This window comes from Homo sapiens, chromosome 1, assembly GCF_000001405.40.
Source record: "Homo sapiens chromosome 1, GRCh38.p14 Primary Assembly".
NCBI lineage: Eukaryota > Metazoa > Chordata > Mammalia > Primates > Hominidae > Homo > Homo sapiens.
The window spans coordinates 62,132,667-62,156,891 of NC_000001.11; the positions used below are offsets into that span (position 1 = coordinate 62,132,667).

At 45.7% G+C, this 24,225-nt stretch overlaps 1 protein-coding gene across 17 annotated transcripts in view; it reads left to right on the forward strand.

The window, feature by feature from the left end:
- Window positions 1–24,225, forward strand: part of PATJ (PATJ crumbs cell polarity complex component) — a 421,436-nt gene that overhangs the window by 390,187 nt on the left and 7,024 nt on the right. For 11 of the 17 annotated variants that reach the window (XM_011540462.4, XM_011540464.4, XM_011540466.4 and 8 more), the window contains 2 exons: window positions 15,618–15,724; window positions 20,692–20,815. In XM_011540462.4, coding sequence (XP_011538764.1) covers window positions 15,618–15,724; window positions 20,692–20,815 — 231 coding nt within the window. The remainder of the gene's footprint in view (window positions 1–15,617; window positions 15,725–20,691; window positions 20,816–24,225) is intronic. The other 6 variants (XM_011540467.4, XM_047424287.1, XM_024448642.2 and 3 more) reach the window with 1 other exon arrangement.

The following is a 24,225-nucleotide window of genomic DNA, read 5'->3' on the forward strand; positions in this document are numbered from 1 at the left end:
TCGAGGCTGGCAGATCGCTTGAGCCCAGAAGTTTGAGACCAGCTTGGGCAACATGGTGAGACCCCGTCTCTACAAAAAAATACAAAAATTAGTCGTGCATAGTGGCATGCACTTGTAGTCCCAGCTACTGGCGAGGCTGGGGTGGGAGGATTGCTTGAGCCCGGGGGGCAGAGGTTGCAGTGAGCCAAGATCGTGCCACTGCACTCCGGCCTGGATGACAGTGAGACCCTGTCTCAAAATTAAAAAAAAAAAATTACATAAGTAAGTGAATAGGTGTGATTTTTTTTTAATTGAGGTAAAAAGTTGTTGGAAAGTATTAGAACTACAGAGGATTGAGTAGATTTTTAAAACACAGGAAACAAGTAGAACTTAGAAATGATGTAACAGTTAAGTGGAAGAGTTTGGCGAGCTAAATTTTCATCTCTTAGAGTAGGGAGTCAGTGGACACCAAGATAGTACATTTCAAAATAGGCATATAAGAATATTATTTAGCTTATTCTTTAGAATTAAAAAGAGAAAAGTTCAATGTGCTTCTAGGGAGGGCAAGTGTTGAATTTTTTTTATCATGTACTGTACTATTTCATTTTTTATTATGTACACACAAAAAAGAAATATTTAGAAAAAATAGAATATGGCCAGGCGTGGTGGCTCATACCTGTAATCCCAGCATTTTGGGAGGCCAAGGCAGGTGGATCACCTGAGGTCAGGAGTTTGAGACCAGCCTGGCCAACATGGTGAAATCCCATCTCTACTGAAAATACAAAAATTAGCCGGGTGTGTTGGCACATGCCTGTAGTCCCAGCTACTTGGGAGGCTGAGGCAGGAGAACAGCTTGAACCCGGAGAGTAGAGGTTGCAGTAGCCGAGATTGCACCACTGCTGTCCAGCCTAGTCGAGAGTGAGACACCGTCTCGAGAAAAAAGAATAGAAAAGAACCAAGAATATAGGTCTGTTTGAAAAGCAGCTAAACAGATTTGAGTAGAATGGTGCTTCTCAAACTTTAGCACGCTCTGGAAACACCTGGAGGGCTCCCCCAGCCTTTCTGATTTTGCAGGAGTGGAGTGGGATTCAAGAATTTGCTTTTTTTTTTTTTTTTTTTGAGACAGAGTTGCGCTCTGAAGCCCAGGCTGGAGTGCAGTGGCACAATCTCGGCTCCACTGAGCCTCCACCTCCTGGGTTCAAGCAATTCTCCTGCATCAGCCTCCCCAGTAGCTGGGACCACAGGCACCCACCACCATGCCCGGCTAATTTTTGTATTTTAGTAGAGACAGGGTTTCACCATGTTGGCCAGGCTGGTCTCAAACTCCTGACCTCAGGTGATCCGCCTGCCTTGGCCTCCCACAGTGCTGAGATTACAGGTGTGAGCCACCGTGCCCAGCCAATTTTGCATTTCTTCTAACAAGCTCCTAGGTATTGGTGATGCTGCTAATTCAGATCCCATGCCTCAGACCCAGTGGAGTAGAGCATTATTTAGGGATGAAAAAGGTCTCCCCACGTTATTCTCTTCATCTGAAACACCCTTCTCACCGTACTCTCGTCTTTTTTTTTTTTTTTTTTTAAGAGAGAGACAAGGTCTCATTATTGGCCTGCACTCAAGAGACTGTCCCACCTCAGCCTCCCAAAGTGCTGGGATTACAGGTGTGAGCCATCGCACCCAGCCCTCTCTTTTTTTTTTTTTTTTTTTCTTTTTACTTTTTGAGACTGAGTTTTGCTCTTGTTGCCCAGGCTGGAGTGCAATGGCGTGATCCTGGCTCGCTGCAACTTCCATCTCCCAGGTTCAAGCGATTCTCCTGCCTCAGCCTCCCGAGTAGCTGGGATTACAGGCATGTGCCACCACGCCCAGCTAATTTTGTATTTTTAGTAGAGACGGGGTTTCACCATGTTGGTCAGCCTGGTCTCAAACTCCTGACCTTAGGTGATCCGCCCGCCTCAGCCTCCCAAAGTGCTGGGATTACTGGTGTGAGCCACCACGCCCGGCCTCTTTTCTTTATAAATATTGGAAAATCCTTTGTTTAGAAACTCTCCATCGAAGAATAGGGAGTGCCTGGGTGTTGATGTCCTTCCAGACCATGGTTCTCCAAAGCTGGAGAAATCTGTGTCTGTGCCTCGGGCGCAGGCCTCGCCCAGAGCAGATACCTCCTCAGTGCTGCCCACATGGAGTTGCTGAGCCATTCCAATCAAGCTGAAGGACATGAACTAATAGGGGAACAAATCAGCACAGTTACCAATGTAGTCCAGAAAAATTCCAGGAGGGGAGGAAGACGGATGGCTTACCCAGGGTTGGAAATGGAAAAGGTGTGTCATTGAGGGTGCAGAGCAGGCGCGTCATGGCCTATGTGAGTATCACTAAAGGAATGATCTGCTATTAGGTCTTTACCTTAGTTGCATAATAAAATCACTGATTTTAATACCTGTTCCTGGGCCCCACCCCAGAGGTTCAGATTTAATTTTTCTGGGATATGGCATGGACATCAGATGATTTTAAAATTTCTCAGGTGATTCTAATATGCAGCCAGGGGTAAGAAAAGTAGTCTCCAGGGTTTGCAAATAAAAAGCCAACTAATGCTTAGGCCAGGTGTGGTGGCTCACGCCTGTAATCCCAGCACTTTGGGAGGCCGAGGTGGGGGGGATCGCTTCAGGTCAGGAGTTCAAGACCAGCCTGGCCAACGTGGTGAAACCCCCTCTACTAAAAATACAAAAATAAGCCAGGCATGGTAATGCATACCTGTAATCCCAGCTACTCAGGAGGCTGAGGCAGGAGAATTGCTTGAACTCGGGAGGCAGAGGTTGCAATGAGATGAGATCGCGCCACTGCACTCCATCCTGGGTGACAGAGCGAGACTCCGTCTCAAAAAAAAAAAAAAAAAAAAAAAGCCAAATTAATGCCATGAAGACAGTGATAAACTGCAGGAAAAGGACAAAGACCCAAGGTTTGAAAGTTGAAATGAACACCTAGCCCAAGTTAGGTAGGAGAGGTAGGCTGTAGTGTCAGAAAGTCGTGAGTTTGAATCCTTTTACTAAAGTCTCACCTTCTATTCCTCTAAAACAGGGACTGTGGAGCTCCTTTCTTAAAAAGGTTGCTCTGAGGATTAGATGAAGTGTGATGTAAAGTGTCTAATAAATACAGGATGTTGCAAATGATAAATACTAAGTGGTATCTTATTACTTTCATTGTACTAACATAGGCTTGAAGTTAGAGGATACTAAAATTCCTTTATAAAATCCTGGAAGTGGAGTGGTTTTCCAGGTGGCATTTGAGGTGTGTGCCACTAGGTGGCAATGTGGCTGGAAGTCAGTTTGCCCTTTTCGAATTTTACTCCAAGTGCTTCACACTTCTTCAGACCATTAGATTTTTTTTTTTTTTTTTTTTTTTTTTTTTGAGACAGAGTTTCGCTCTTGTTACCCAGACTGGAATGCAATGGTGCAATCTCAGCTCACTGCAACCTCTGCCTCCTGGGTTTAAGCAATTCTCCTGCCTCAGCCTCCTGAGTAGCTGAGCTGGGATTACAGGCTCACACCGCCACGCCCGGCTAATTTTGTGTTTTTTGTAGAGATGGGGTTTCTCCATGTTGGTCAGGCTGGTTTTGAACTCCTGACCTCAAGTGATCCGCCCATCTCGGCCTCCCAAAGTGCTGGGATTACAGGTGTGAGCCGCCACGCCCAGCCCGATCATTAAATTTTTAACAGACACATAAAAATCAATATATTCTGGTGTCACTAAAATCAGGGTCACTAGATTCTGGACAAAAACTTTAAGCAGCTGTGCTTTCTATTTCAGTAAGTTACACCAAAGGCCAGGCATGGGCTTTTCTTGTGTGTGTGTGTGTGTGTGTGTGTTTTTCTGTAATGTGTCCCCATCTTAAGATGCCAGCTTTCTCAGGGATCACCTTAACTTTACAGCCTTCCTGTTTGTTTTCAACATGTGTGCACCCATAGTTTGAGGGTCCAGCTGCATGTAAGTGCTGAGGATTTTTATGTTTTGCGTGTGTGTGTGTGTGTCTGTGTGTGTGTGTGTGTGTGTGTGTGTCTGTGTGTGTGTGTGGTGTGTTGTTTTTTTGAGACAGGGTCTCACTCTGTCCCCCAGGCTGGAGTGCAGTGGCACAATCATGGCTCACAGCAGCCTTGATCTGCCAGGCTCAAGCAATCCTCCAACCTCAGCCTCCCAAAGTGCTGGGATTACAGGCATGAGCCGCCACACCCAGCCAGTGCTAAATTTCAGATTTGGTACTGAAAGGCTTGGGTCCTAATAAGTCTAAGGGCTAATCATCTTCTTTCGCAGGAACCTTTAGGAGAGTTCTAAGCAAGGAGCTCAAGCTTTTATGCATTGTAATATCTTTCTTATCTGGAAATTATTTTGACTTCTCAATTCTCCAAAACATAATACCTAAACCTGTTTTTAAAGAAAGATACTCAACCTAGGTCCATGCAGTAAAGACCTCTACTTTATTACTCATTTCGAAAGCTTAATAAATACACAATATTTCACTGTAGAACATATAGTTCTAATTAAGTTTAATGTTCCTTTTACCCTAAGTTATTAAATGCAACATGGAGGCAAAGCACAAGAGAGTACATGAAAATAAATATCTTCTTAAAGGAAAACAGTGGGGAAGGTGGCACAAATTAAGGAAATTCACATCAGAGGGAGAACCCTGTTGGAGAAACAGTGAGGGGGAAACCCATTGGCAGAAGGAAACATGGAATAAGTGAGTTTCGTCGGAGGGGGGAACATAGAATGAGGGGGAACAGCAGCCTGAGGGGTAAATGCCTCTGGAGGGGGGAACACAGAGTGAGGGGGCACAGCAGCCTGAGGGGGAAATGCCTCTGGAGGGGGGAACACAGAGTGAGGGGGCACAGCAGTCTGAGGGGGAAATGCCTCTGGAGGGGGGAACACAGAGTGAGGGGGGACAGAGGCCTGAGGGGGAAATGCCTCCGGAGGGGGGGACACAGAGTGAGGGGGGACAGAGGCCTGAGGGGGAAATACCTCTGGAGGGGGGAACACAGAATGAGGGGGGATAGCAGTTTGTGGGGGGAACACAGATTGAGAGGGAAGCAGGCTTGTCTGTTCTTCCACAGATGCAAACGTCTCTAACTGTTCCGTAGGCGCAGAGGACAAGGCTGCAGCCTCCCCGTCCTCTGGTGGGAGGATTTCTTCCTGCTTTTTCTTCAGGCCAGTGGCCTCCCTCACCTCAGGTGGGGGGATCTCCTCCTTCTCTTCCTTCAGGTCCATAGTCTCCTCCTCAGGTGGGGGGATTTTCTCCACCTCTTCCTTCAGGTTCACAGTCTCCTCTTCCTCGGATGAGGAGATTTTCTCCACCTCTTTCTTCAGGTCTGTGGCCTCCCCCTCTTTGGGTTGGGAGAGTTCCTTCTCTTCCTTCAGACCAGGGGTCTCCTCCACCTCAGGTCGGCAATTACTAAATATTTGATCATAAGAGTTGGGGAGGATGAGGGGAAACCAAGTAGTTCATTAAATGCCTAGTGAGACTTTAAGTAAACACAACCATTTGGCGACTTAGGAAGTTCTAGTAACTTTAATGGTGATGCAATACCCATCACCAGCAATTCCAGATCTAGTTACCTGCCCTTAAACAACCACTCAAGATGTCTACAGCAGCACTGTGCCTAACAAGAAGGAGCCTAAGTTTTCTGTTTGTTTGTTTGAGACAGAGTCTCACTCTGTCACCCAGGTTGGAATGCAGTGGCACAATCTCAATTCACTGCAACCTCCGCCTCCTGGGTTCAAGTGATTCTCCTGCCTCAGCCTCCCTAGTAACTGGGATTACAGGTGTGTGCCACCATGCCCAGCTAATTTTTGTATTTTTAGTAGGAAGGGGTTTCACCATGTTGGCCAGGCTCGTCACAAACTCCTGACCTCAGGTGATCCACCCGCCTCAGCCTCCCAAAGTGCTGGGATTACAGGTGTGAGCCACTGCACCCAGCCAAGAAGGAGCATAAGTTTAAAGGACCTGCAAGCATAAATTTAACCCACCTCCCCCATGTTGGAGGGCCGGGGCACCAGACACATTTCCAGGCCTCTGGGTCTAGCGGGACATGAGAGAAAAGTTTGCTGATCTGAGTAATGCAAAATGCAAGACCACAGCTGCAGATCTTAGGATTGGAGCTGGCCCCACCCAGGTGAAAGGACTCCAAACACTACAGCTCTGAAGCACATTCAAGTTACAGATACTTTAATGCCTATTGTCCGGGTAAGGACCTCAGAGTCCCTGTGCCTTCCCCAGAAGGAATCCCTTTCCTTCCCCTCTCCTCTATCCACTCTGACCTGCATGTATTCATATCTGCCTCCCACACTAGATGACATTGGCTGCAAGCTCTCTGGAGGGCAGGGAACCTTTGCTCCCACTGGGTTTCCTCTGCCCCCATCTCTATTCTCAGAACCTTTCGCAGAAGTTTACAGCCAGGAGTGTAAGATTTACTTTTAAAAAAGAGCAAACTGGCCGGGCACGGTGGCTCACACCTGTAATCCCAGCACTTTGAGAGGCCGAGGCAGGCGGATCACGTGAGGTTGGGAGTTTAAGACCAGCCTGGCCAAGATGGTGAAACCCCGTCTCTACCAAAAATTCAAAAAATAGCCGGGCGTGGTGGCGGGCGCCTGTAGTCCCAGCTACTTGGGTGGCTGAGGCAGAGAATTGCCTGAATCCGGGAGGCAGAGATTGCAGTGAGCCGAGATTGCGCCACGGCACTCCAGCCTGGGCGACACAGCGAGACTCCATCTCAAAAAAAAAAAAAAAAAAAAAAAAAAAGAGCAAACTTCTCATTAGACTCTTTGCCTTCCCCAAAGCACACAAACATCTCCCAGCCTTACCTCTGTGTTGTTCAGTCAGTCCCTGATGGTGATGGTGGAAGAGCTCTTCAGTGGCGGGGCTGAGCCAGCTCACAGACCATATCTCAGAGTTGAACTTACATGAACTCAAAGCTGAACACACCCTTTGGAGATCAGATTATCCCCTTTCACAAGTCAAAGCCCCAGGAAGGTTTAACTCTGCTGCCTATCAAGTTACTTGCCAATCACCTCTTAAGACAGAAGGGCTTGATGGGGATTTCTTAGAGCTGTAAAGTCTAAAAGTCATTCTTTTTTTTTTTTCTTTTTTTTTGAGACAGGGTCTCACTCTGTTGCCCAGGCTGGAATCCAGTGTCACGATCATGGCGTGCTGTAGCCTCAACCTCCCGGGCTCGGGTGATCATCCCACCTCAGCCTCCCAAATAGCTGGGGCTACAGTCATGAACCACCACGCCCAGCTAATTTTTGTATTTTTTGTAGAGTCAGGGTCTCACCATGTTGCTCAGGGTGGTCTCGAACTCCTGGGCTCATGTGATCTGCCTGCCTGGGCCTCCCAAAGTGTTAGGATTACAGGCATGAGCCACCTTGCCCAGCCTAAAGTCATTCTTAAGGTGACATATTTGTGCTCTCCTTGTCTTCCTGCAAAAGACCAAGCTGTCAGTGAAAGTCCATCACGTTTCTCATTCAGCCCCTTGGATTCCACTTCTACAAAATAGGCAGAAGCGTGGACAACCCCAAGTGTCCTGGGTGGGTCTCTAAGATTCAGTATTATCAGTTTTTTTCATTTCGGGGTGGAGGAGTGAACAAAATGACTTCAGGTTTTAGAGGGATGTGAGTTTTTCCATAAGACGATGCTACAGAAGTGTTTTTATACTTTGCAGCTAGACTTTTTAAAAATTGATTTTTGGCCGAGCGTGGTGGCTCACGCCAGTAATCCCAGCACTTTGGGAGGCCGAGGCAGGCGGATTACTTGAGGTCAGGAGTTTGAGACCGGCCTGGCCAACATGGTGAAACCCCGTCTCTACTAAAAATACAAAAATTAGCTGTGTGTGGTGGCAGGTGCCTATAATCCTAGCTACTGGGGAGGCTGAGGCACTAGAATCACTTGAACCTGGGAGGCAGAGGTTGCAGTGAGCCGAGGTCATGTCACTGCACTCCAGCCTGGGCAACAGAGCGAGACACCACCTCAAAAAAAAAAATTGATTTTTACCCAAATAAAACTATGACTTTGGTTTTACCATTTGTATGGTGGATTTCATGGACTCTTGAAAGGATAATCTCTTTCTAAAAGGCAATGAGCTGGTCTCGGTGGTTCACGCCTGTATTCCCAGCTACTGAGAAGGCTGAAGTGGGAGGATCACTTGAGTCCAGGAGTTCAAGGCTGCAGTGAGCTATGATCGCACCACTGCACTCCACCCTGGGTGAGAGAGCAAGACCTCATCTCTAAAAATAAAATAAAAGCTAGACAGCTTTCTTCCTAGAAAGCTAGGAAGGTTTCTAGGAAGTGGGGGTGAGGTGGTGGGTGTGTTATGCCTCCCACCCCTCAGGCTGTCTCCCTGCAGTACCCTGGAGAGTGAAGTACCCCGGAGAGTGAAGTACCCCCTGGTGCCAAGCACATGCCATCATGATGGTCTGCTCTACTTGCATCTTCTTGTCCCACTGTCCCTCTGCCCCTCCCCTTCCCATGCTCCAAATATGGCCTATAAACTCTGTTGCCTCACACAAGGTGATTTGCCTCACACCACAGTTAGGAGTACAAGATTCTAGATTTGGATTTAAATCCTGGCTTTACCCCTTACTACCTGTGTGACTTAACCTCCCTGCTTCAGGTTCCTCATCTGTAATATGGAAATAATAGCAGGGACTCAGAAGGATGCTTAAAGACATACATAATGCAGCACCACCACGGCTGAATGTAAAATGAGCATAGCCGGGCGCGTTGGCTCATGCCTGTAATCCCAGCACTTTGGGAGGCCGAGATGGCCAGATCACTTGAGGCCAGGAGTTCAAGACCAGCCTGGGCAACATGGTAAAACCCCATCTGTACTAAAAATACAAAAATTAGCCAGGCATGGTGGCATGCACCCGTAATCCCAGCTACTCGGGAGGCTGAGGCACAAGAATTGCTTGAACCTGGGAGGTGGAGGTTACAGTGAGGTAAGATTGTGCCACTGCACTCCAGCCTGGGCAACAGAGTGAGACTCTGTCTCAAAAAAAAAAAAAATACGGTGACTCACGCCCGTATTTTGGGAGGCCAGCACTTTGGGAGGCCAAGGCAGGTTGATCACCTGAGGTCGAGTTTGAGAACAGGCTGGCCAACGTGGTGAAACCCCATCTCTACTAAAAATACAAAAAATTAGCTGGGCGTGGTGACACACACCTGTAATACCAGCTACTTGGGAGGCGGAGGCAAGAGAATTGCTTGACCACGGGAGGCAGAGGTTGCAGTGAGCCGAGATTGTGCCATTGCACTGCAGCCTGGGCAACAGAGCAAGCCTCTGTCTCAAAAATAAATAATTAAATAAACAAATAAATAAAAATAAGCATAAAGTAAGTGCTCATTTTATATTCAGCCATAGTGATGCTGTATTATGTTGAATAAATGAGCGAGTAAAGGAAGGAGCAGGCTGCTGTCACATCTTGGCATTTGACGATACCTTAAAAAAAAACACTATTTTAGTGACTTTCTTCCTCAGCCCCATAAGGACAGTCTGTTTCATGGACAGCTGACAACAGTACCCGTGTAACTTCCCACAAAGCATAGGACTCCCCTCCACTACATCCTGAATTGATTAATTTCAAGCCTCTATCTGAATGCTTGCTCCACTGAGGTGCTCATGTCCTAGCAAACTGTGCCATTCCATTCCATAACTGCCTTGTTACTTTTTTTTTTTCTCCTTTAAGAACCCAACACCTATCTCCTTGTAACCTCCATCAGTCTCACCCTGCTCTGTGGAAATTCAGAAAATTGAGTCCCAAAAAGCAACCACAGAAAATTGAGTCCCATAATCCCTATTCCTTATGACAGTTTTAGATTCGCTCATTCACTCCACAATTATTAAGCAATTGTTATGTGCTAGACACATTAGCATTGTGCTGAGGAGAAGCAGTCCTGATCCTCATGGATCCTGTGATTGGGTGGGAAATACAGTCAACATGCACATAGATGCTAATCACCATAATTTGTGAGAAATACTTGGAGAGTGCTATGGAGAGGAAAACAGGAGAAATTAAACACGGATGGTCAAAGCAGGCTTGTAGAAGGGAAGTGACATTTAAGCTGATGCCAGGCACGCTGGTTTGGGGGATGGGGGGAATTCCCCGCCTGGAGAGGGAACTGGAATGTGGGGTGGAGTCGAGAGAGAGACAGGATTAGAGGAGTAGGCTATGGAGGGAACTTTATATGCATAATTAAAGTCTGAATTTTATTCCAAGTCCAAAGGGAAAACACTACAAGGTTTTAAGCAGGGGAGTGCGGATACCCGTTTTATATTTGAAAAGGTAACTGGCTAACGTGTGGGAATGAGGTGAGACAAAGGTGAATGGGGATTCCAGCTAACAGGCACTTGATGATGAACTGAATTAGGATGGTCACCTGTAGATGGAAAGTAAAGTTTTGAGAAGGATTTTGGAGGTAGAATCCAGGGGACTTGATGGATTACGTACAGCAAGCAGGAGTGGAGGGATCAGATATTCAGAGAGCGATCAGCTATATGGCTGGCATCCTAGCATCCTTTCCAGTTAGACAGGCACCAGCCAGCACACCAGTATTTTCACTATTTCACCCAGTATATTTCTAACTTGGCATCTGGAGGTGCCATTTACTAAAATGAGGAAAACTAGAAGAAAAGTGAATTGAAGGAGATGAATTGTTAGATCAAAAGTTTGAATATTGTGTTAATTTTGATACATCTTTGAGATATTAAAATGCAGATGTCAAGTTGGCAATTGGATATCACAGACTAAGCTGGGAATTTTTTTTTTTTTTTTTTTTTTTTTTTTTTGAGACAGCGTCTCCCTCTGTCACCCAGGCTGAAGTGCCATGGCTTGATCTCGGCTCACTGCAACCTCTGCCTCCTGGGTTCAAGCGATTCTCCTGCCTCAGCCTCCCAAGTAGCTGGGATTACAGATGCCCACCACCACGCCAGCTAATTTTTGTATATTTAGTAGAGACCAGATTTCACCATGTTGGCCAGGCTGGTCTTGAACTCTTTACCTCAGGTGATCCAGCCCACTCTGCCTCCCAAAGTGCTGGGATTACAGGCGTGAGCCACCACGCTGGCCTAAGCTGGGATTGTGAGCACGTTGGAATGTAAAGCTGTGGGAATGTACATGCTGTCACTTGAGCCTGAGTGTGCAAGTGGATAATGGGCCCAGGACTGCACCATGAGAGATGAATGGAAGAAGAGCAAAGAGATGGAGAAACAGGCCCCTGCAGAAGGAAAGCCAGAAGAGTGTGGGTCATGGAAGTTTGGGTGGGAGATGGGGATGGAAGCTGGAGTGGGGTAGGTTTATAAAGATGGTGGACTTCAAGAGTAGGGAGGATAAAAGAGTTCATGGACAAGTTAACCTTCCAGTACACTTGCTGTGGAAGAGAGCAGAAAGCTGGTGCTAAGAGGAGAGACTTTTCGGGGCAGGGAGAAATCTATCGTTTCCTCCTTTAATCTTTCGTCCTAAATATTTCCCAATTCATTCCGTCATTCTTCATGCAGTGGTATTTCCAGAAGATTCTATAACTTGGACATAGCAGTGTTTTCCCCAGAATAGGATGCTTCACCCAAAATGTGTTCTCATTCTTCATACAGTGGTACTTCCAGAAGATTCTGTAACTTGGACATAGCAGTGTTTTCCCCAGAATAGGATGCTTCACCCAAAATGTGTTCTGGGGCAGGCCTATTTTCTTTCTTTTTCTGCTCTACTTAACAGATGAAGCTTAATTTAGCATTTTAGGCAGCTGTGCCCTCTGTTGGCCTTTTCTGAAATTGCAATCAAGTCGAGCTTTGCATTGCTGGCAGACAAAGTTCCCTCTGTATTTGTGCAGTGAGAATTATAACCCAGAAGCAGAGGTAACCAAGGAGCTCTTGAGAAAGTATCTCTGGTAACTAGTTGAGGTGGAAGACAACTCCAGGATAAGGAGGCAAAACAGACTTTTATGATTCCCATTTAATAGATGAGGAAGCTGAAACTCACATATGGCATTGATAAGAGGCTGAAACTGAACTCTGGAACTCCATCCTGAGTCCTGTTGTGGACTCCCAGAGCTATACTATATTTCTTCTAAATGCTCTAGAATGTTATTTGCAAAAAAAAAAAATATATATATATATATATAATTAGCAGAATACAAAGTGCCATTATTCTACTATACCTTTGTTTTTGTTTGTGGGTTTATTTTTATCTTATTTTATTTTTGAGACAGTTTTACTCTGGAGTGCAGTGATACGATCTCTGCTTATTGCAACCTCTGCCTCCCAAGTAGCTGGGACTCCAGGCCTGTGCCACCACACCGGCTAATTTCTTTTGTACTTTTAGTAGAGACAGAGTTTTGCCATGTTACCCAGGCTGGTCTTGAACTCCTGAGCTCAAGTGATCCGCCCACCTCGGCTTCCAAAAGTGCTAGGATTACAGGTGCGAGCCACCGTGCACAGCCTATTCTACTATACCTTTGTTTAGGACTATCTAAGAGGCAAATCTCAGGGAGTCAGAGATATTCATCCATTCTTTCATTCACCAGTTATTTACTGAGCACCTGCTATGTGCTAGGCACTCTTCTATGTGATGGGGAATACAGGAGTGAACAAAGCAGACAAACTTCCTGCCCTTACATTCTAATATGAAGTGATAGACAATAAATAAGATAAACAAGGTAAGATGTATGCAGTTCATTAGATAGTGATGGTGGTAAGAAGGAAACAGGCCAGGTAAGGTGGCTCACGCCTGTAATCCTCCTTACTTTTGGAGCCAAGGTGGGAGGATTACTTGAGCCCAGGAGTTTAAGACCAGCCTGAGCAACACAGTGAGACACTGTCGCTACAAAAAATAAAAAGTTAGCTGGGCATGGTGGTGCATGCCGGTAGTCCCAGCTACTTGGAGGATGAGGTGAGGGGATCTCTTGAGCCCAGGAGGTCAAGGCTGCAGTGAGCTGAGATCATACCACTGCACTCCAGCCTGGGTGACAGAGCAAGTCCCTGTCTCAAAAAATAAAGAAAAGGCCAGGTGCAGTGGCTCATGCCTGTAACTCAGCACTTTGGGAGGCCAAGGCGGGCAGATCACTTGAGGTCAGGAGTTTGAGACCAGCCTGGACAACATGGTGAAACCCTGTCTCTACTAAAAATACAAAAAAATTAGCCAGGCATGGTGGCATGCGCCTGTAATCCCAGCTACTTGGGACACTAAGGCACGAGAATTGCTTGAACCCGGGAGGCAGAGGCTGCAGTGAGCCGAGATCGTGCCACTGCACTCCAGCCTGGGCGACAGAGTGAGACTCTGTCTCAAAAATAAATAAACAAATAAATAAATGAAAGAAATAAATATTTAGAAGGAACCAGGAAGCGGGGAAGGGGAACATGAAACATGGAGCTGGGATGTTGGTGTGGAAAGGTTAGAGTGGCCAGGGAAGGTGGCTCAAAGGCCTCAGAGTAGTGAAGAAGCCAACCACACAGATGCCAAATACAGAACGTGCCAGGCAGAAGGCACAGCGGTTAAAGTGCTGAGGTGGGGATGCGTCTGGCATGTGAGAGAAACAGTGAGGAGGCCGGCACAATGGGGCGGAGAGAATGCCAAGGAGAATGTTAGGGGAGAGGCAGAGATGTCACAGGACACATCACTGCAGATGACCCTAGAGGTTACAGGAAGGACTTCAGTGATGGTCCAAGAGAGTCGAGTTTCCTTTGGACAGTTTTAAGCAAAAGATTGGAATAATCTGCTCCATTGTAACAGAAACATCCTAGCCGCTATGGATGGAGGGGCTGAAGCGAGAAGACCAGTGAGAAGGCTAGAAATAATTTCATAGAAAAACGAATAGAATTTTACTGGCTGCAGTGGCTCACGCCTGTAATCCCTGCACTCTGGGAGGCCGAGGCAGGCAGATCACCTCAGGTCAGAAGTTCGAGACCAGTCTGACCAACATGGAGAAACCCCGTCTCTACTAAAATACAAAAAAATTAGCCAGGCGTGGTGGCGGGTGCCTGTAATCCCAGCTACTCGGGAGGCTGAGGCAGGAGACTCGCTTGAACCCGGGAGGCGGAGGTTGCGGTGAGCCAAGATCACGCCATTGCACTCCAGCCTGGGCAACAAGAGTGAAACTCCATCTCAAAAAAATAAAAATAAAAATAAATTTAAAAAAAAGAAAAACCAATAGAATTTCATGAGGATGGAATGTGGGTTGTGAGAGACAGAGATGAGCCAAGGATGACACCATCCTTGAAACTGGAAAAATCAAGCTACAGTTGCCCAAGATGAAGAAGGCTCCAGGAGCAAAGGTTGCAGGGAGCAAAGCCTCCATTTTAGACATGTTAGCTTTGAGATTCCTGGAGACGTCCCATAGATGTCTATGGACCCAGTGACAACTGGATCCATATATCCAGTTGTGACATCCAGTGGGTGACTGGATATATGGATCTGGTGTTAGGTAAGCATTGGAGCTAGAGGTACAGATTCAGGGATTATCATCACTTAGATGGCATTTACATTCATGAGATGGATGGGATGGGATATGGGATGGGATGGAATGGGAGACAATGGGATGGGATAATATGTTTAATGGAAAAGATAAGAAGCTCAAGGACTAAGCCCTGTGGCCCTCAGTTAGAGGTTTAAATAATAGAAGGAATGGCCAGAAGTGTGGAAAATAAACTAGTGAATTGTGGTGTCATGGAAGCCAAACGAAGAAATGAAGAAAATAGTTGAAGGCCGGGCACAGGAGCACATGCCTATCTATAATCCCAACACTTTGGGATATCGAGACGGGCGGATCACTTGAGCTCAGATGTTGGAGACCAGCCTGAGCAACATGGCAAAAACTCCCTCTACAAATACAAAAAAATTAGCCAGGGCTGGGCTTGGTGGCTCACGCCTGTAATCCCAGCACTTTGGGAGGCCAAGGTGGGCGGATCACCTGAGGTCAGGAGTTCAAGACCAGCCTGGCCAACATGGTGAAACCCCGCCTCTACTGAAAATATAAAAATTAGCTGGGCGTACTGGCACTCGCCTGTAGTCCCAGCTACTCGGGAGGCTGAGGCAGGAGAATCACTTGAACCCAGGAAGCAGAGGTTGTAGTGAGCCGAGATCGTGCCACTGCACTCCAGCCTGGTGACAGAGCGAGACTCCGACTAAAAAAAAAAAAAAAAATTAGCCAGGCATGGTGGTGGGTGCCTGTAATCCCAGTTACTCAGGAGGCTCAGGCAGGAGAATCATTTGAACCCGGGAGGCAGAGTTTGCAGTGAGCTGAGATCGCGCCATTGCACTCCAGCCTGGGTGACAAGAGTGAAACTGTCTCAAAAAAAAAATTAGCAGGGCCTGGTGGTGCATGCCTGTGGTCCCAGCTACGTGGGAGGCTGAGGTGGGAGGACTGCTTGAGCCTGGGAGGTCAAGGCTACAGAGAGCCAAAATCATGTCACTGCACTCCAACCTGAGCAACAGAGTGAGACACTGTCTTTAAAAAAAAAAAAAAAAAAAAGTTTGAGAGAATAGTCCTTGTGTCAAATGGTCTAGATAAATTGAATAAGATTAGGATTGAGAACTGACCCTTGGATACAGCATGGTTTCTCTAATTCTCCCCTTCTTTATAATGAAATACCTTTTTTTCACTTTTTCCCCAGGTTGTAGCAGATACCAATATAAGCGCCATAGCAGCTCAGCTTGAAAACATGTCTACAGGCTACCACCTTGGTTCGCCCACTGCTGAACACCATCCAGAAGACACAGAGTGAGTATTTCAGATGCAGAGGGCCTATTATGCATGTGGGCAAAGCTCGGAAGAACTTTTCCAGACACTCAAGTGCACTCTAAAGGAGAAGTGGCCAAAGCGCCCGTGACTTTTTCTAAATTCTAGGGAATCCTTATTTCTCACAAGGCTTAATTCCACCACATGAGTTCTTGAAAGACCATTGTTGCAGGGCCTGCACACACACTGCATCTGGTCACTTTGACACAGTGCCTATGCCTGCTTCCCTAAGAAACCACGGATGTATAGCCCAGGTGCACGCTGCTTTATTGTGCAAGGAACCACGTTTCCTGAACTTCTAGGCTAAAATCTTGTTCTGAGATGAAATCTTGTTGTTATACTTGCTGACATGTTTCATTAAAACCAGTCATCGCAGTTAAAGTTGTTCATTAAAGCAGGGTTTCTCAAACTAGAATATGCATAAGAGTAATCTAAGGGCCGGGCTCAGTGGCTCATGCCTGTAATCCCTGCGTTTTGGGAGGCCGAGACGGGTGGATCGCCTGAGGTCAGGAGTTCGAGACCAGCCTGGCCAACATGATGAAACCCTGTCTCTATTAAAAATACAAAAAATTAGCCAGGCGTAGTAGCGGGCACCTGTAATCCCAGCTACTTGGGAGGCTGAGGCAGGAGAATTGCTTGAACCCGGGAGGTGGAAGTTGCAGTGAGCCAAGATTGCACTACTGCACTCCAGCCTGGGCAACAAGAGGGAAACTCCATCTCAAAAAAAAAAAAAAAAAAAGAGGAGTAATCTAGGGAGCATGTTTAAAGATGCGAATTCCCAGGCCACATCCCAAAATTCTGACTAGGTGGTCTGTGGTGGATTCCAGAAACCTGATGTTAACAAGTTTCCCAGAGTGATTCTGCTACAGATGGGCAAAGGATCTACACTTTGAGAAATGCTGCCTAAAGCTATTCCTCTCAGGTACCAGCAGTGCCTGGTCACTAGTAGGTGCTCAATAAATGTTTGTTGACAAATCTGGATGGTTCATTTGAAGGATCTCATGGTCATAGCCCGTCCCAATTTTTTCCTGGTAGTTCCCCACCTAAATGACATCTTTGAGTTTATTTTTCTTGAGGAAAGAATATTAAATTAAGCTCATTCTACCTTTTTCTCATTATAAAAGTTAATACATGCATGCCATGAACATATGACAACACATAGAAATATAACATTTTTCAAATTACGGTGGCCTTTTCCTTAAAAAAAAAAAAAAATCAGGACCTTTATAGGAAGTACAGCGTACCTTTAGCATCCTTTGATGTGGCTATGGAAATACAGAGATCCCCTTGTAATCTTAATTCCTTTGCTATAATTCCATGCCTCTGGCAGGCTGGGAACCACAAGCTTAAAGGAATTTAAAAATCACTCATAATCCCACCACTGCTAACACTGGGATTTTTTTTTTTTTTTACTAGCCTTCTATATGAAAGTAAATTTAAACTAATTGGTTGAAAATGTTATGATATTGTGAGATCAATAGAGGCAAATTCCATCTGATGTTGCCAGTTGAGGAGTAGAGCCACACTCCTCCCTCTTCCCCTGAAAACATGTCCCTGAGTATAGATAGGCACAATTATAAGGGTCTTTAATGATTTGATGGCCACAGGAGGTAGCTCTAAAGCAATGGCTTTGGGCATCTAGCTTCTCATTCCAGTATCTTTGGAAATGGGGGCTGTGTTTGAAAGAAGAAACATGAATCGAATTTGTATCCAGCTGGTGAGCTGTTACTGAGAGTGCTTGTAAGGCCACAAAGTGGGGAAAAGTAGAGCCTTATTCATGAGTCATAATCATTCACCTATAGGGGGCAATTCATCAGTATCTCAACAGATATTTATTGAGCACCATTCTAAGGCCAGACACTTAGATACAAGTGCTAGGTCCTGAGGACTCAAACTTAGAAATGTAAGTAAAGATATTGCCCCAGTCCCCAGAGAGCTGCCAGAGAAGTGGAAAAACAGACCCATAAATCCATAGTTATAAAAGATAACTGTAGGAGAGCTAAATTCATTGAGAGAGGGTCCTGTGAAACCATGGATATGGGGCATAACTCAGTTAAGGAGTGTAGTTGGAGAAGCTGATGCTTAAGCTTAAGAGAACTGGAGCCAGTTTTAAGAGAACTGGATCCAGCATAGTGGTGCATGCTTGTAATCTCAGCTACTAAGGAGGCTGAGGCAGGAGGATCACTTGAACCCAGGAGTTTGAGGCTGCAACGGGCTGCAGTTGTGCCACTGTACTCCAGCCTAGGAGACAGAACAAGACCCTGTCTCAAGAAAAAAAAAAAAAAAAAAAAAAAAGAATTGGAATAAACAGGTGGCATTCAAAATAGTTAAGTGTGGTGGCTCACTCCTGTAATCCCAGCACTTTGAGAGGCCAAGGCCTGGGCAACATGGTCAGACCCTGTGTTTATAAAAAAATGTAAAGACAAACAAAACAGTTAAAAACAGTTAACAAGGCCGGGCGTGGTGGCTTACGCCTGTAATCCCAGCACTTCGGGAGGCCGAGGTGGGCAGATCGCCTGAGGTCAGGAGTTCAAGACCAGCCTGACCATGGAGAAACCCCATCTCTACTAAAAATACAAAATTAGCCAGACGTGGTGGCACATGCCTGTAATCCCAGCTACTCGGGAGGCTGAGGCAGGAGAATCACTTGAACCCGGGAGGCAGAGGTTGCGGTGAGCCAAGATCACGCCATTGCACTCCAGCCTGGGCAACAAGAGTGGAACTCTGTCTCAAAAAACAAAACAACAACAACAAGAAAAAGAAATCAGTTAACAATTTATATAGCATAGATCGTCAGCAGTAACTATGGATGTCTGCTGTAAACAAACAGTAAGTACATCAACAAACAACTGGTAACAATGTGAACCAGCTGAAAACCCTTTAATAAACCCAGCAAAATTGGCCAGGCGGTGGCTCACGCCTGTAATCCCAGCACTTTGGGAGGCTGAGGCGGGCAGATCATGAGGTCAGGAGATCGAGACCACCCTGGCTAACATGGTGAAAAACCCCGTCTCTACTAAAAATACAAAAAAATTAGCCAGGAGTGGTGGCAGGCGCCTGTAGTCCCAGCTACTCGGGAGGCTGAGGCAGGAGAATGGCATAAACCCAGGAGGCAGAGCTTGCAGTGAGCCGAGATAGCGCCACTGCACTGCAGCCTGGGTGACAGAGCGAGACTCCGTCTCAAAAAAATAAATAAATAAACCCAGCAAAATTGAGGAGGGAGAGAGGGAAGAATATTCTAGTTAAATAGAACAACATATTCAAAGATTGCTTGTGTCCCCATTTTGCAAATTTCTCTAAGTACATGAATGGCTGAGTTTATATGAGATGACTTCGCCTCTCAGACATGCATGTTGCCACAAAACAAAGGATGCTGCCAGTACACGAATATGAACTACCTATCATAAATAAGACAGGGTCTGGGTTTCTGCCTTTTGAGCAATAGCATTTGGGAATAAGAAATTGGCATCACCTAAACTTAGATTAAGATTAAATTACTGGGAGCCCACATAGGTAATTTAATTTTTAGCCATGTTGTTTCTAAGAGAGAAGACTTCCACACTGGATGAAGCTTTGAAAAGCTAAATTTTACATTTGAAACAGATTTTCTTTCTCCATTTTGTTTCACCTTGGTTTCTCTCTTCTCTCCTGGATTTCAGTTCTCATCTACACAGTCATGATCCTGAGTTTCTGACAAGCACCACACATGGTACTGGGAAGTCTCAGATGACTAAGACAAAGAGGTTATAGTCTGGTAGAGGAAATGGATGGCTAAGTAATTACAATATGATACAGTCAGTGCCAAAATGGAAATTTGGACTCAATGTAGGGGAAGCACAGAAAAGGCTGTGGGACCCATCCTCCCAAGGGAGGCAGGAGAGCCTCACATTGGAAGTGAGTTTGGAGAATGAGTTCCTGCCTTAGGTGGAAGTGGCCAGGGCGTTCCGGCAGAAAAGGAGCAGCAGTCTGAGTGCGGCAGCTCACGCCTGGAATCCCAGCACTTTGGGAGGCGTCAGGTGGATCACCTGAGGTCAGGAGTTCGAGACCAGCCTGGTCAACATGGCGAAACCTCATCTCTACTAAAAATACAAAACTTAGCTGGGCATGGTAGTACACGTGTGTAATCCCAGCTACTAGGAGGCTAAGGCAGGAGAATTGCTTGAATCCGGGAGGTGGAGGTTGCAGTGAGCCAAGATTGTGCCACTGCACTCCAGCCTGGGTGACAGAGCAAGACTCTGTCTCAAAAGAAAAAAAAAAGGTAAAAGAAAAGGAGCAGCAGTTTCCTGAGCTGCGAGCTGATGTTATCTGTTATGGACAAGAGTTTATGTGAAGACTGGCAGTCTCCCACCACACTAGGAGACACGCTACCTCTGTCTCCATGCACATGCTTCAAGGATGTGACGACAGCTTCCTTCAGCTGTCAGCAGTAAGTTTAAAAGTTAAAAACTGGCCGGGTGCAGTGGCTCATGCCTGTAATCCCAGCACTTTGGGAGGTAGAGGCAGGCAGATCACTTGAGGTCAGGAGTTCGAGATCAGCCTGGCCAACATGGTGAAACCCCATCTCTACTAAAAATACAAAAATTAGCCAGGTATGGCACACACCCATAGTCCCAGCTCCGTCTCAAAAAAAGAAAAAAAAAAGAGTTAAAAACTAAGCATATAGAAGAGTGCTTTGACAATTTCAGCATCATGACTTTATCTTTAATTAGCAATCAGTGAGTTTTATGAAAGAGAAACCTCTAAAACATCAAGAATATTGGTGATTAATTAGCATGACATGAGAAGTTAGAAAATAACTTTCTAGATTGCTTTCTGAGAGTTTGATCTGATAAACCAAACTTCATAGTTTTGCAGTATGAAAGTCTCTCTCAAATCTGTATTCTTCCAATTAAATGAAATTCCCTCTCAATATCTATTCTCGAATTAAACAGCATGCATTGTGTTTTCAGAACACCTCCACCTAAGATTATTACTTTGGAGAAAGGCTCTGAAGGCTTGGGGTTTAGTATTGTAGGGGGTTATGGAAGTCCCCATGGAGACCTGCCAATTTATGTCAAGACTGTATTTGCAAAGGTATATCTTCTTTTTTAATGTACTTTTTTAAAAAAATTAAACCTAGGTGAGATTTCTTTTAAGTGCTTTGCTTTGCTTTACTTTGGGTCAAACCTGGATGTGTGCATGTATGCTCATTTCATTTGAATCTTATAGGAAATTCTCACACAGGAATAGTGGGAGAAGAGTTCTTTTACAATGGCGGAGTCACAAGAAGTGCAGTCTCCTTTGGATTCTGTGACAGAAGCAGATGCTCACAGATTTTTAGAGTGTCTTCTTTCAGCAACACAGCATAAGGAGCAGTGCCACTCTTTAGAAGGTGTCCTTGGAAGTATTGTTCTGAGCTAGAACAAAAAAAAGATTTGGCTTTCTTCTTGAAAATAACAGGCACCAGGGGGCTGAGGCAGAAAGGTTTGTGCTGTGCAAGCCTCGAATCAGTGCATTCTTTATTTTATTTTTTGAGAGGGAGTTTCGCTCTTGTCGCCCAGGCTGGAGTGCAATGGCTTGATCTCAGCTCACTGCAACCTCTGCCTCCCCGGGTTCAAGCAATTCTCCTGCCTCAGTAGCTAGGACTACAGGCGCATGCCACCACGCCTGGCTAATTTTTGTATTTTTGGTAGAGACGGGGTTTCGCCATGTTGCCCAGGCTGGTCTCAAACTACTGAGCTCAGGCGATCCACCTGCCTCGGCCATCTAAAGTGCTGGGATTATAGGTGTATGCCACTGTGCCCAGCCTGAGTAATTATTTTTAACTTCACTGATTTTTTTAATTGGAATTTAATTTTTTATAAATTTTGAAGATCTCTGAGAAGTATTTCAAATTGATACTACAGTTTTTTTTTCTTCTTTGGTTTTATCATAGTCATTTGTTTATGAACAGATCTTGTTGAACTGCTTTGTTTTCCTAAAGAAATAAAGGTCTTCGAGGCTGGGCATAGTGGCTCACGTCTGTAATCCCAACACTTTGGGAGCCTGAGGTGGGTGGATCACCTGAGTGCAAGACCAGCCTGGTCAACATGGCAAAACCCGTCTTTACTAAAAAACACAAAAATTAGCCGGGCATGGTGGCACATGCCTGTGATCCCAGCTACTTGGGAGGCTGAGACATGAAAATCCCTTAAATCTGGGAGGCAGAGGTTGCCATGATCCCAGATGATGCCACTACACTCCAGCCTGGGCAATCCATCTCAAAAAAAAAAAAAAGAAAAGAGAGAGAGAGAGATAAAGGTCTTTGAAAGGAGAAATAAGAAGGAATCTGTCTCTTTCCAGAAAGCTAAACTATACATTAAATACAAGCTTGCTTTTACCTGTGCAGATCTTAGATCTTATCACCTGTTAATTGGGCCCAGTGACCTGCCATAAAACCCTTTAGTCATTTGGCATTTACTTTTGGACCACATTGAGCAGCTGCACATTTACCCCCTTCCTGCATCTTGCTAGAATGCCTAATAAGGCATGTTATTCCCAAACAACCTGTTAAACTGGTGATAGGCAAAAGAGGAGCGGAAAGGCAGCACAGAAACATTCTGGGTAGCAGAATGCTTATCCCCAAGGTAGATAAACCATAAACTGACCATCCTTCTCCTATGACACATTTAACACCCTAAGTTCTTGGGATAATTATTCTTTGGAGGGCATTATTATACTTTGCTTTTGAAATAGCCAGCTATGTAGATAAGGACAGTGGGAAGGCTGCAGAGTTAGCCCCCATGTTTTAACACGTTCTGCTGGCCTGCTGTTGCCTCCACAAAGCTCCTCCAGAATGTTTGCAGTCACCCGTTCACTTCATGATAACTGGATACAGACAGAACATGGGTCAGCTTCTAAGGCCTTTTGACCTGGACCCAGAGCTTAGCAGACTGCCCCAGCTGTTTGCACTTTCAATAGACTGGTGGGCTGGGACCCAGACACCTTTTGATGGCACCAGAACATACAGCTGGGAGCCAGACACCCTGACGGGGCACCAGAACATACAGCTAAGAGTAAAATGGCTGTGCATTGCTGGTGAATTTTTAAAAGAACCCACCAGCATCCACACAGTGGGACAAGAGTAGTGGGAATAAAGAATGGACTGTGGCTCACACAGAATGCCCTCTCAAAGGTCCCATTGAAAGAGGTCCTTTAGGAAGCACCCATAGAAGTAGAAACATTGTAAGGAATAGATATTGAATATTCTTCATGTATTTCGTTACTTACAGAATGGCACACCTAAAAATGAAAAGCTCTGAATTTAAAAAAAAAAAAAAAAAGACAAATTTCTAAGCCTTATCCAGTGGCCCACTTAGCGCAGTCAGTCTTACTAAAAGAATATTCCAGGCCGGGTGCGGTGGCTCATGCCTGTAATCCCAGCACTTTGGGAGGCCGAGGCAGGCAGATCACGAGGTCCGGAGATCAAGACCATCCTGGCTAACACAGTGAAATCCCGTCTCTACTAAAAATATAAAAAAATTAGCCGGGCATGGTGGTAGGCGCCTGTAGTCCCAGCTACTCGGGAGGCTGAGGCAGGAGAATGGCGTGAACCCGGGAGGCGGAGCTTGCAGTGAGCCGAGATTGCGCCACTGCACTCCAGCCTGGGTGACAGAGCAAGACTCTGTAAAAAAAAAAAAAAAAAAAAAAAAAAGAATATTCCAATAGGGCAGGACATGGTGGCTCCACCTGTAATCCCAGCACTTTGAGAGGCTGAGGCAGGAGAATAACTTGAGCCCAGGAGTTCAAGATCAGCCTGGACAACAAAATGAGATCCCCATCTCTAAAAATAAAAAAATTTTTTTTTAGACTCCAATGTAGGCCAGGCATGGTGGCTCACGCCTGTAATCCCTAGCACTTTGGGAGGCCGAGGCAGGCTGATCACTTGAGGTCAGGAGTTTAGGACCAGCCTGGCCAACATGGTGAAACCCTATCTCTACTAAGAATACAAAAATTAGCCATTCGTAATGACAGGCACCTGTAATCCCAGCTACTCGGGAGGCTGAGGCACGAGAATCACTTGAACCTGGGAGGCGGGGGTTGCAGTGAGCTGAGATCACACCACTGTACTCCAGCCTGGGCAACAGAGTGAGACTCAGTCTCAAAAAAAAAACCTCCAATGTAAATAATAGTTATTATTATTATTTAAATAGTCCCAAAGGATTTATTATAAGATTTACTTTGGTGAGTTTTAAAAAAATCTGTGTGACTGGGCACAGTGGTTCACGCCTGTAATCCCAGCACCTTGGGAAGCTGAGGTAGGAGGATGGCTTGAGCCCAGGAGTTTGAGACCAGCCTGGGCAACATTGAGAGACCCTGTCTCTACCAAACATTTAAAAATTAGCTGGTCATGGTGGCACACATCTGTGGTCCCAGCTACTTGGGAGGCTGAGGTGGGAGGATGGCTTGAGCCCAGGAGGTGAAATCTGCAGTGAGCTGTGATCACACCACTGCACTCCAGCCTG